Source organism: Homo sapiens, chromosome 13 (genome assembly GCF_000001405.40).
Source record: "Homo sapiens chromosome 13, GRCh38.p14 Primary Assembly".
Classification (NCBI taxonomy): domain Eukaryota; kingdom Metazoa; phylum Chordata; class Mammalia; order Primates; family Hominidae; genus Homo; species Homo sapiens.
In genome coordinates, this window is record NC_000013.11 from 85,419,572 (window position 1) to 85,433,350 (window position 13,779).

The 13,779-nt window shown below is 37.0% G+C and overlaps 1 long non-coding RNA gene across 1 annotated transcript in view, besides 1 other annotated feature; it reads left to right on the forward strand.

The window, feature by feature from the left end:
- LINC00351 (long intergenic non-protein coding RNA 351) overlaps nucleotides 1–13,779 on the forward strand; it is a 181,060-nt gene that overhangs the window by 55,969 nt on the left and 111,312 nt on the right. The gene's annotated exons all lie outside the window — the stretch shown is intronic.
- Nucleotides 12,487–12,987: an enhancer, noted in NCBI's record as "H3K4me1 hESC enhancer chr13:86006193-86006693 (GRCh37/hg19 assembly coordinates)". NCBI's record gives its function as "activates a minimal SCP1, AML or CMV promoter by ChIP-STARR-seq in naive H9 embryonic stem cells {active_cell/tissue: H9 hESC(naive)}" and the evidence as "EXISTENCE:reporter gene assay evidence [ECO:0000049][PMID:30033119]".

The window sequence follows — 13,779 nt, forward strand, 5'->3', positions numbered from 1 at the left end:
TTCATACATCCCATGCCTTAAATGCCCTTCACTTTCATATATGCTTATTACAATGTTCTGGTCATTTTTAATTTCCAAAACCAATCTGTTTCCCCATGAGACCTCACCAGAGCTCTTTGTTCAACCATACCAGCCTCTTTCTCTACAGTGGTCCTATGTAAATGTACATTAAAAACAATCACAAATCACAGCAGGCCAGACATTTTAGTTACTTGTGCCTGCGTGTGACTACTTGTTGTTTTCAACTTGGTTACTCATCATGTTATTCCCCCATAGTACCTAAGATAATGACTTATTCATGTGAAGAATTTATTCATATATGGAAGTAAAAATCCATACAAATCCAAGATAGAAGTAATTAAAAATCCACATATATACACACACATATATATACACATATACATATGGATTTATAATTACTTCTATCCCAACCCATATAGCCAGGATTTTATCCATATATATAAGGATTTTAAGTGAATTATTTTTAAAAATGTATCTATCACACTACAGATCTGGGAATTTTGTATGAGAAGTTACAACTGAGATTGTATCTAAACAATGCCAAAACATCTAGATTAAAAGTGAAACATTCGGTCAACCATGACATTGTTTCCAAGTATCTATATGCTTGGCATTGGGAAAGGAAAATATTTAGATGATGGATGTTACTTTTCAGTTTCCATCTGGATGTTTTGGCTTCATGTAGACACAGTCTCTGACAGTCAACACTGATGACAAAACAATTTTAGGTTTCAGATTTGGTTTTTAGCCCACCCACATGGAGGTAAACAGATTAGTTTGAAGAAGAGAAACTGTTGAATGTCTAATGACATTTATGCTTTCAGCCAAGAGAAGTCTCTGAGGAATGATGATCTCCATTTACATCTTCCCTGACTGTAATTCTACCCTGTTTCATAGAAGAAAGTTGGCCTGGAAATATCCCCAGCTCAATTACCCAGGCGTATCACGAATTTTCAGTAAGACCCAAGTCACGCTGGGCCTCCACATCCAGTGGGGAGAGGGCAATAATTCTGTCCACTATGGTCAACACTAAGAATTAACTGGCTGGAATTGTCTTTGCAGTTTTCATAATGAAATATATCTTCGGGAGGTAACTGGGAGAAACATGGTTATAATGCGATAGAAAGATATGTTTTTTGGTTCATTTGAAAAGGGCTTTGGATTCTGCTTTGCATAGAAGCCAATCGAGATAACATGTAAAACTTCAAGAATACTGCATATTTACTTATAAAACAAATACACTTAAAATCTCTGTGAAACTTTGAAAATAAAAAGTTTAGATTGGTTTCAGAGTGACTGTGTGCAGCAGAGAATTATCGAGTACATATCTGGGTGAACTGTAGGTTAATTATATGGGATTTTCAGAAGTTATTAATGGATGAAATACCCGCATGCACACACACATATCTAAAACTATAAAAGTGAACCAGCACACACTGGAATATTAATATATACATGTACAAAAACTTATACACACATCAATCTAAATACCACAATTCAGCTATTTTAAATGAAACTAAATTTAATCTACCATGTTAATATTTGTTTGTTTATAGTCTTTTGTAAAACCACAAAATTGTATTTGATAGGATACTGGTCTTCAAACCATATTTATCTTCAAATAATAATTTAACAGTAAAATAAATAAGAATTAGTGATTTTATCTTTTCAGGCTATTGAAAATTTACAATTTTCATCACCACTGATCGAAATATAGGATTCAGCTATGTTTAGCCTTCTTAGCAGTCTTAATCTTTTAGTCTCATCCCTCCAGAGTGATGAAAACAAACTTCTATCTTGATTTATATAGCCAAGCTTACTGTCTGATTGGATAATGGATGTGGTCGATCCCACATTTTATCAATGCTGTTAAAACTCTTGCAGTTTAGATAAGCGTAATTGGCACTATTAAAAAGAAATATTATTCATTCTAACATAGCCTGTTGTGGAATTTATAATATCGAAAGACTAGTAAATAGTATACAGAAGGGGTTTTTCTTTGTTTGTTTTGAGATGGAGTTTCACTCTTGTTGCCCAGGCTGGAGTGCAATGGCATGATCTCGGCTCACTATAACTTCTGCCTCCCAAGTTCAAGCGATTCTCTTGCCTCAGCCTCCTGAGTAGCTGGGATTACAGGTGCCTGCCACTAAGCCCAGCTAATTTTCCGTATTTTTAGTAGACATGGGGTTTCACCATTTTGGCCAGGCTGGTCTTGAACTCCTGACCTCAGGTGATCCGCCCACCTCGGCCTCCTAAAGTGCTGGGATTATAGGCCTGAGCCATCGCACCCGGCCAGAAGGGCTTTTCTAAAACTTCACTTAATTGCAACTTTATTTGCACTGTGTTATTCACTATATAGAGAGAGGCTATGTCTAACATTTGTATATCATAAGTTAAAATTACTCAAAAAACTTAAATCAATATCCTACATATTTTCAAATTCATGATTGGCTCTGCACTCTATCATCCATTGTAAATATCATGTCTGAATTTGGAACAATATTAAACCACTTGGTATTTGTAGTCATTTACAAGTCTAAGCTCTTATTGCTCTTACATTCAATTGTGTGACTTTAATCGGTTATAAATTTTTACATGGGATAGAACTGTATATTACATTTTATTTGAATTAGCATGTTTCTGGCAGCAAATAACAGACACAAATATTAGTGACAACTTCTATGGAGGTTTATCATCTACTATAACAAGACTTGAGATAGGGCAAGTGCTTAATCCAACAGATTAAAACACATTCGATAATTTAGGTTTCTTTAGGCTTGTAATTTCTTTCTGTTATCCATTTTCAAAGTTGGTTAGCTTCTCTTGAGAGCTACACATTTCTAGATATCACTCCTTATATAAATATATCCAAAGGTTATGAATGTTTTGAAGACTCAGATAGCAACAAAGTCTCCTACAAGGGACTTTCATCTGTAAAGCACAGTTACCTTCTCCACTGTGCTTATGTTCTTGTCTTTGGAGGCAATGTACCTTATAGAACGCTCACAGGACATTGAGGTCCTTGAAACTTCTAGTAAGTGACTTAAAACATGAGATTTTACAGTTTAATCATTTTGTCTATAAAAGAAACAAAATAAATACATACTTCACAGAGTTCTCCTGTGTGTTTAAATAAATTATGAAAACAGTACTGCACAAAATAGGGCAGGCTTGTAATAAAGTTTTATTTAAGTATTTATTTTATGTATTTAAAATTTTTAATTTTAATAAACAAAACCTAATACTTTCTAAAATTATGTATTTATTTTATTTACCACATAAGTAAATAAAATTTCAATTAAAATATTTCTAGATAGCCCAGCCTCCATATGTCCTGGAATTTCACTGAATACTACAATGACCAGATCCCATATAAAAGCATCTTTATCAAGGTTGGTTTTTCATTCTTTCCTAAGGTTGGCCTTGTTTTCAGCCCCCAGCAGTTATAGGCACCCAGAAGAAATCAGTTCCATTCTTTATCAATGAAGCTGCTATATCAATGTGACTTTATGGGAATACTTGGGTTATACAGGTTGATTGGGCCTCTCCTTTTTCACTTTAAAGTTTCATATTGTTGAAATATTTTTTATTTGCCCCAGAAATAATGTGAAAACAGGTCATTTCTGGGAGATTCCATATTTCCTATTTTTCATACTCACCTGGATATCCACCTTTTTCTCTTTACATTTTTATCTCAGATAATCACTTCTTTTATAACTTTTGCCATTCTTGCCAAGGAATTATTTCAATAGTAGATTCTTTCACTATATTTCTGCCAAAGTCTTTTGATAGTTACCATATTTTACTTAATACTATTTTGAATGTTACTCTTGAGTTCTACTGGCCATTGTCTCTCAATTTCATGAATATATTTTCTCTAAACTGTTTGTACAACATTACTATTAGAATCAAATGACAGGACTGGCTCTGATGTGCGTTAAACCGAACACACCCACGTGGATTGGGAGTAGCCATGGACCAAGAGAATGGACCCCTGGAACCCTTGATCTCCCTTCCAGGACACATTCCTGGCGTGGCATCTTCTACCCAATCACCATAGGCCAACTTTAGGACCTACAAGTGTTTCTTCCCTATGTCCATCTTCCATATAATACCTTTTAGCCTGTGAAACTCTAAGTGTTGATTAAGGTGCAGCACTTTAAGGGGGTTATGGTCACAGCAAATATATACAAGCTGAGATAATCACCCAGGTTTAGAAGAGTCTTCCTGTATTGATAAACAGAGCCACGATGTAGGGGTGAGTAAAAGGATGAGTCTCAGGTGAGGGGCCGGGTGGCCATCCCCAAGCCACATAATTCATAAATGCAAATTTGATAAACATAAATTTGAGAATTCTAAATTTGAATCTAACTTTCCATTTCATTAAAGGGCATATCTGTTAAAGTACTAGGCTAGAACCAGTTTTCTTTAGCAATTTCTTCTCTTGATTTATAACTGCTAAATATTAGCTAGTAACACATTGGCCTACATTTGTATTATCTCCAGGGCTCCCCAGATGGGAGGTTTAGGACTGTTTGTATGCTCTGATTCAATTTTTCTGTAAGGATTTGTAAATTCCGTTGAGCGTATTCTTTAGACTGTATTGACATATTCTCTTTACATAGAGGCATAATTTTGTCATCCTGAAGAGAAAGGACATTAGAACATGATTACCTGTGTTCAAACCCAGTTGTGTGAATTACTCAAATCCTCTGAACACTATGTGCCTCAATTCCTCATCTAGCAAATGCGAATGATTATTTTACCTGTCATATAGGATCCCTTAAAGAAGAAATAAGATAATATATGTTACTGACTTAGAACAGGACTTTGGACATGGTAAACTTTAGGCAAATTTTAGTTACTCTCAATGGTTGATTTATTTCCTAATTTTAATCATCAGTGTCTTTAAATAAATGTCAGAATGGCATGGTTAACTGGATTTCACATCTGTAGTTGCTTTTTTCTGAAGTTTTATTTATGAAATTCTTTTGTTGAGCAAATCAACATATTGTATCTTAAGGAGAGAAAGAATAAAGTTAAGACTTCATTCTGTCTCCAAGAAGGTTAAAACATCAGACAAACCAAACTGATACTTATGGAAAAACAGTAAGTAATACAAGAGAAAAGTTAACAGGTGAATGATTATCTAAAGCAAGTTCTAAGAGCTAGAAGAGTTAAGAGAAAAGTAAGAGGTCAGAGAAAATATTTATGTGCTTTGTTTGTAAACCATATGTGTAGAAAAAAAAAAAAGAAAAATAAGAGCCACAAATAAGAAAAGAGGGGGTGGAAACAAGAAAGCTTTTGATCAGCCTTCTGAGTAACTAGACACAGCCCCAATTACTGGAGTCTAATTTTACATTCTATTTTTGTGCTGTCTAATTTGCTCATCTTAGCCCCAGGTTTCCCTTAGTTTTTCTTTGCTCAATTTTATCTATGTGTGTCTCAGAAAGAAACATAGACTTTCCAGTTCTACTTAATTTCTCCTTCCACTGAAACTAGCCTCTTTGATGCACAAAAAGACGCCAAGTTTGGCTAATCATCATAATTTCAAAGAAGTTCTCTCAGACTATTTACTAAATTGTTACAGGGTAGAAAACTTAGTATCCTTTCGAGTACAGTTGCATATAAATAGGAAACCCAAAAAGCCAAAGAAATATTCTTAACTTTAAATGAATGGATGTCTAATGCTGGAATTTTAATTTGGGACTGAGGAACATCATGGATGACGTAAAGTAAATTACACCATATAAGCAGCATCCTAATATATTTGTACATAAAACTAAGCCATGGAGATGAGTTTGGTCTACATATTTGATTAGATCTCTGGAGAGGCACTGAAGAGAATCCTCACTGTGGAAGGAAACAGAACTTTGTAATAAATACAGACAGGTATAAGCTGCCTATGAATTTGTGTTGAAAAATTAGGTGGTCAGAAGAAAAATGCCACAGCACTGACCTCTAAAAGTAGATGCTAAATCTCTGCATCTTAGAGAAAAGTGTGTGCCTAACAAACATTTTTTTTCTGATGTTTAGGAAACATATTAACAGAATAAATATATTAGCATTTTCTCAAATTTTTCTTTTAAGTAAAAGGATGCATTGTTAATTAAGTAAGTAGATATGAGGAAATGAAATTTTCAACAAGATTGCAGTGCAAAACTTAAAATATCACATTGGTATTGAGGGAAAATCTGAGAAAATCAAGTGAAATGTAAAAAAGATTATTTTCATGTATAGACATTTGATTACAACTCCATTACTTTATATTTTGAGGGTTGTGCTTCATGGCCTAGGAGCTCAAACAGCTTCTTTACACTCATTTTTACCCTAAAATTGTGATATCATAAGAGATGCTGAAAATGTCTTCAAAGTTAATCTTATTCATTAGTTTCAGTGAGAAATACAGCACGTCTAAAGGGACATAAGGGATTTTTAAAGTCACACAGTTTTAATGCGGAGTTTATTTAACCTGCCCTGGGAAAGTGTTTGGTTCAGTTTTGTTTTATTTTAGACTTTATCAAATTACTCTGGAATATGGGTAATGGGAAAATGTAATATTTAGCTTGCATACATTAAAAACTCCAATTATGCTGCTGTATAATCAGTCTGAATTGATAAATAGGTACTTTCTGGAAATGGATTGTATGGTTGGTAATCTTTAAATCTTTCTGCCTATTAGCTGGCAATTTATATTTCTCCTAAAGAAATCCCATTTGGATCTTCTAGTCTCTTTTTAATGAGTGAAGTATATACAAGTGTTCAAAATTAAATACCTATCAGGAAATTCAGATTACCCAAGTGAGTTTAATATGCCAGATGGGGATGGTGTAAATCACAGAAGACATTCTTTGACTAAAAAGAGGAATCTACTATTTAGTGACAGCTAAACTTGGCTTTTGAAAATACAACATAAGGGATGCCAAATATTTCAGGTTTTTCAAGAAAAACCAGAAATATAGAATGGCCTTTAAGCTTAATTGTACTGCCTAATATTGTTATAGGGACTCATTTAGCGTGAAATAAAAGATACAGTGTATGTGACAGTCCTTTCCATTATAGCATTTGATGAGCTTAAATGCTTTATATTCTTTACAATAAATAAAGATTTACATATTCAAAGATGGTACAAAGCTCTCTTAACCTTTTTTCTTTTTATTTAAGATGGAGTCTTGCTCTGTCACCCAGGCTGGAGTGCAGTGGCAGGATCTTGGCTCACTGCAACCTCCACCTCCCGGGTTCAAGTGATTCTCCTGTCTCAGCCTCCCAAGCAGCTGGGATTACAGGCACCCACCACCACACCTGGCTAATGTTTTTGTATTTTTAGTAGAGAAGGGATTTCACCATGTTGGCTATGCTGGTTTCGAACTCCTGACTTCAAGTGATCTGCAAGCCTTGACTTCCCAAAGTGCTGGGATTACAGGCCTGAGCCACTGCTCCTGGCCGTCTGTCAAGACTTTTTAACTGCACATCTCACAAACATAATATCTTCATACTGTATAACATTTACAAATATATTTGACTGATTTGCCATATTTGTATATAGTTTATCCTGATGTTAAAGCTCTCAACTGAAAGAGGCCCTAGACTGTTCAGCTGACCTAGAACAGGGTTGGAAAACTATAGCACTCCAGCTAATTCAGTTTACTACCTATTTTGTGGTATTTACCACTTATTTTGTGAGTAAGGTTTTATTGAAATGCAAAAATACCTATCTTCCATATTGTCTGTGTCTGCTTTCCTGCTACAATGGCAGAATGGAGTGTTAATGAAATAATTATATGGCCCATAAAGCTGAAAATATTGATTGTCTGGCACTTTACAGAAAATATTTGCTGACCCTTGGTCAAGAGGAAGATCCAGGAATCTGAATATCTTTCAAGGTTTCTTCTAAGTAACAGTTATGATCAAACTAGTTTGGCTCTTTCTATTCAATTTTGTGTGCCAAGTTAATTATCAAAGTGTTTTGCAAATACTGGATTGCTGCTGAATGATGTAACTATGAGACAAATCAAATCTTGGCTATTGGCCCAACCATTGCTTCCTTTTTAAGGAGCTGGTCACCTTGCCATGACCTTTCAAGAGAATTCTACTAAAATCTAGAATTCCTAAGTTTACTCACATTATTCACATGAAATAAATAAATAAATAAATAAACTTTATGTATTGAATTATCCAGCTTTCATTCATTCCCTTTTAAAATCCAGTTTATATTGTATGAGGAACAATGGTAGACCATGGAGAACTACCTTAAAGAAATATTTCCATGAAGGTAAATAAATACAATAGCAAATTGGTATACATAGTCTCAAAGTTTTGCCACAGGCATTAAAATAACTTATCTTTTTTTTTGCTTTGTTATCACACAAGAGAAACACATTGATTGTAGAGAAAAACTAAGTAAAATATTTAGAAATATGCAAATTCCAGAAGACATTTAAAAAACATTATTCTTTTAAATCTTTTAAATGCAAATATAAATAAATATTTAGAATTTTAAAATGGGCCGGGCGCGGTGGCTCACGCCTGTAATCCCAGCACTTTGGGAGGCCGAGGCGGGCGGATCACGAGGTCAGGAGATCGAGACCATCCCGGCTAAAACGGTGAAACCCCGTCTCTACTAAAAAAAAAAATACAAAAAATTAGCTGGGCGTAGTGGCGGGCGCCTGTAGTCCCAGCTACTTGGGAGGCTGAGGCAGGAGAATGGCGTGAACCCGGGAGGCGGAGCCTGCAGTGAGCCGAGATCCCGCCACTGCACTCCAGCCTGGGCGACAGAGCGAGACTCCGTCTCAAAAAAAAAAAAAAAGAATTTTAAAATGATAGAACTCCTTGGTGTTTAAGCTCCCATTCAATGCAAGGAATTGTTTCTAGTAACTTTATTTTCATACAATATTATAATCAATTTGTGGTTTCAAAAATATTTGCATTATATATATTAAACCTGCCTCCAACACAGCACCTAAATAATAATAAAGCTACCATATATATAAATTATGTGCCTGGCACATTTCTAAATTGTTCATGTGAAACAATCCACTTATTTTTATAATATGCCTACTAGATAGATATTTATTATAACCACTTTACAGATGTGATGATTGAGGCATAGAAATACTGTATTGTTTGCCCAGAGTTATGGCATCTAAGTGGCAGAACAAGAATTGAATAAAAACTATTCAACTTTGGAAAGTTATTTTTAGATAGTGTCCACAAATTTTCACTGAGTGAAAAAAATCTTTTATTGAATCACTCTGTCTCTTCACGTTTGAAACTAAGATCTGCTCTTGAAAGTGTTTTTTTAGGTGTTTTTTTTTTTTTCTGGAATATCTATATTCTTGTCACTACTCACAGAATTGAAATAACAAAATCTTAAGACAGCCTCACTAAAACAGTAATAACTAAGTTCTCAAGCATTTATAAACTTAAGAAAGCAGAGATAACCAATTTTCTGAGGAGTTCACAATTAAATAATTAAGATAAATCATTTTACACATGCAATTACACAAAATTAATGGCCAACGGATGTACCTGCATACTTTGTAGTAAATATTCATGGTATTCCACTTAGCGTACCCACACTAACCTTAGTTTAAAATCCTCCATCCACACAGATGGTACAGGGGAAGCTATCCACTGTGGCATGATTTTGGCCCTTGACAAAGGTGACTACCAGACAAAAACTAGATCATCCAAACTGCTTCTACACTGTGACTTGAAATCTCAATAACTGATTAAAAATCCTTCCCTTAGTTGAAGTGTAAAATATAAAATTGGATTGGTTACTGATGGCAGCCATGTGTTCTGACTTGAACAGAAAATGAGCGTGAAATGAACCCATGGTGGGAGGCGGTGTGGAGAGGGAGAAAAAGAAAGAGAGGATTTAGCTATCACTGACATGTAAGTTTCTGGTTTCAGTTTTTCTTGAGGCCCCTAAAAGTGTGCAATTTAATTATTCCTTGTTATCCAATATTCTCACAAAGAATCCCAAGTAATACAGTATCAGATCTAACAATTAGAGTTCAAATATTGTGACTTTTACCCATTAAAAGGAACCATTGCCTTAAAATAAATAAAAAAAATTTTCTGTTGGTGCAGGTTTGAAGTAAGTAGAGTTCCTCTATCCAAGCCAGATGGAGCTTTGCTTTCTCTATAAAGAAAGATAGAAATTTAAATTAGTAAATAAAAACCTGATGGTAGGTTTAGACTCAGAAGACTTGCTTTACTGTTAAATCCAACCTTAGGAGAAAAAATAGTAGAATAAAAACTAAATTGTGTGTAGAAGACAATGTTAAATAAACAATAATTCTAGCCTATAACATTTTTATTTTTATGTAATATATAGGGCCTAAATTTTTTAGAAAAAAAAAAGTATTAAAATCTGAAAATCACCCTGTTCATTCTGAGAGAAGAATGAAGCTTTAAAGAATCAAGCTTTAATTTATTGTTTTTTTTTGTTAGTCTCCTCACCCATACTTAATTGGGACCTCTAATAAACATAGTTACCTATTTACTAATCTCTTATGTTGTTTGTTTTTAACTTGTAAGGTTTTTTCTGGTCTTGCATTAAATGCTTAAGAACAACTTTATTTTTAGATGAAGAAATATATTTCAGTTTACTAAACTCTTCAATGTGCTACTTTTTATTCTCTTATGAAAGAGTGGCATTTTAATTGTGACATTACTGATTTAAACTCCTGAGCCCATCTTTAAGAAATAAACTGAAAGGGATGGGTGAAAAGCAGTCTAGTAATTTCATCTAGGCATTGCTTTGTCAGAGAGTCTTTTACCATGAATCATGTCAATCAGTTTGAAAGTGGTGAAGAGCTTACTTAGCAGGTAACTGAGGATTATTTATGAACCATCAAGGCTATTAGGTGAAGTAGTAAATGCTGCAAGGTTAATGAAAGTGCAGGAAAATCTACCACATCCAGTCTTAATGGAAAATTCCTTTACTACTTTCAGACCTGAGAATAGAACCAACTGTGCCTATTTTGAAATATAGCATATCTAGTGATCTGTATTTATGTGCCACAGGAAGATTCATGGCTACCAAGAAATGAAATGCCTTAAACAGTGTAATCATTTGTCCAGTGATGGCAGCAGTGGCCCATCTGGAGTGGCTGCTGCCATGATGCCAGCTGCCACTGGGGAGGTGCGGTCAGGGCTGCATGCTTCATGGAGCCAGGGGTAGTTGGGAACAGGCAGAAGCCCTGCCCCCTTACAAGTTGGCCCAGGTGGGCTGACAACTGGGGCATCCCTGCGCTCTTGGGCAGGAGCCCCACCCTGAAGGGTGCTGCTGCAGCTGCAGCTCCCCTAGCCATGGCTGTGGACCTGGGCATTCCTGTGTTCTTGGGGTCTGGGAGCAGGCAAGGGCCCCACCTTCCCAGGTTCAGTTGCAGCCACCCAATGGTGTCCTGGGCATCTCTGCACTCTTAGGAGCCCAGGAAGGCCCCTCTCCCCACAGAGGCTCAGATGTTCCTGCTCCCACCCCACTTCTGGCACCCACTCCAATCTTGGAGCCGAGTTGAGGCCGAGCCTGGGCACTGGTACAACCTGGCCAGGTGTGCATATGCTTGGGGCACTGCTAATGCACCAGCCCCCTCTGGACTTCAGGCACTGAGGAGCATGGGAGAGAGGCCACGGTGGGGCTGAGGGCAGCCAGGTGCTGCTCTGCAGGCGCCCCTCAGCAAAGCAGAGTGGGTGCTATGAACAGAGACAGGAGGCAGACAGGCTCCTGGGTGGAAAGAGGAGGGCTTGAGGCCACACCTTCAAGCCAGGGAAGGCCTGAAACCTGGGGACCAGGATGCATGTTCTTCAGACGGGAGTAGGAACTTACGTTGCTTTTTCCAGGCTCACTCATGACCACCCATGGACCAATCAGCACACACTTCCTCTCTTCTGAAGCCCATAAAAGCCATGGACTCAGCCAGACTCAAGCAGACAACAGAATGACCAGCTGAGGAGAGGAGCGACCCACTGTGGGTCTCCACTGAGTTGTTCTATCACTCAATAAAGCTCCTCTCCACCTTTCTCCTCCTCCATTTGTCCACGTATCTCATTCTTCCTGAATGCAGGAAAAGAACTCAGGATCCACCAAATGGTGGGGCTGAAAGAGCTGTAACACAATCGGGGCTGAAACATGCCCCTTGCTCACCATGTTGTGGATGACAGGAGAGAAAAGCTGCAGCCCTTTGGGGATCCCAGACTTACGAGCACCTCAAGCCAGGGCTGCGACACCCTTTTTGAGGCTCTGTGTTTCCTGACATCTCCACACTACCGAGCACCACCACATTCCCTGGTGCCAGTCGTCGAAGCTGCTTGTGGTACGCTTGGTCCAGCCACAGCTTCACAGAGAGCTGATGCCTGTGCTGGTTCTTGGAGCTGCTCACCCCACTGTAGCCAGCACGCCTGGAAGTGAGCAGTGGCTGGACCCCATGGTCACTCACTCACATACCTCTTGCTGCTCTGCTCACCCTTGGCAGGCATGATATCCGGGCCAGTAGTATGAGCTGAGTGCAGCCTGCCAGGCCAAGTGGGCCCAGTGGGCCTGGGCAAAACTCGGGCAAAGGCACCACTGTCAACAGATGTTTCTGGATGGCGAAGTGACACCCCTAGTATCCCCTAACACCAGTACATGCAGCTGTTATTTATTTTACATTCAAAACAACTTTATGTGCATATCCTCACAAATTTTTATGCATAAATATATGACTTTTATTAGCACTTAATCTGGATCATTATTCAGTAATTATTTCCAAGTCCATAACAAATCAATGCTATGAAGAAAAAGTCAATTTTTGTGCTTGGTGGTAACAAGATATTGAATATTCCCATATGTCTATTGACATCTGTAAACTTTGAACACTCCAAAATTATTTATGTGTCAATAAAAAATGGTATTCAAAAGTGCACACTGATGTTGCATTTATTCAAAATTTTTTCTCCCTTTTTAGTAGTATCTTGGTTATATTGCTATTATTAAGCAGCTATAACTTTTCATTCATCCAATAGCAAAATATGATTAGAAGACCTAAAAAAGATCAGCGTTTAGTGATACACCGATTTTAACATTTGGAGCCTACTCAATTCCTGTGATGTTTTGATATTTAATAGTAGTGACAGTGGCATTGGTGAGCAAAACTATTTTTTTGATAATCCTAATTGACCATATGTACCATAGAAAGCCTTAAAACTAAATGGAAATAACATCTCCAAAGTTGTCTGTCCTTGGCAAACTCCTAGATTAGACAAAGTTTGTCTCCGGTCACTCAGTTTTTATGGTGCTTCTGTAAACCACTGACAATTCACTCCTGTTCATATTCCTAGCCAACATATTTTAGGTGGCAATCTCTCCCTCTAAGGAAGTGATTCCAAGAATAAATGTCTAACACTTACACAGCACTTCCTATACTGTAGTGCCAAGAACTATACTATGCTATCACCTCATTTGATTCTTAACACAAACCTATCTGGCTCACCATCTCTTTACTCTTCTGGGATCATCTCCTTATTTCTCTAGGTTCATCTCCTTAAATCTTTTTATCTTGTTTATTTCTAGTCCAGCACATTGGGCTTCTTGTGAATATTGCAAGGCACAGCCTTTAAGTGGTCTTGGCACTTCTTTTTCCTCTGCTGGGATGTTCTTACATCAGATTTCTGTCTATATATCACTCTACAAAATGGTTCCCCCTCTAAACGTATATAATTCCTCTCATTACTTTGCTTCAGGTTTCTGTCTATTGCTAAATTACATCTACT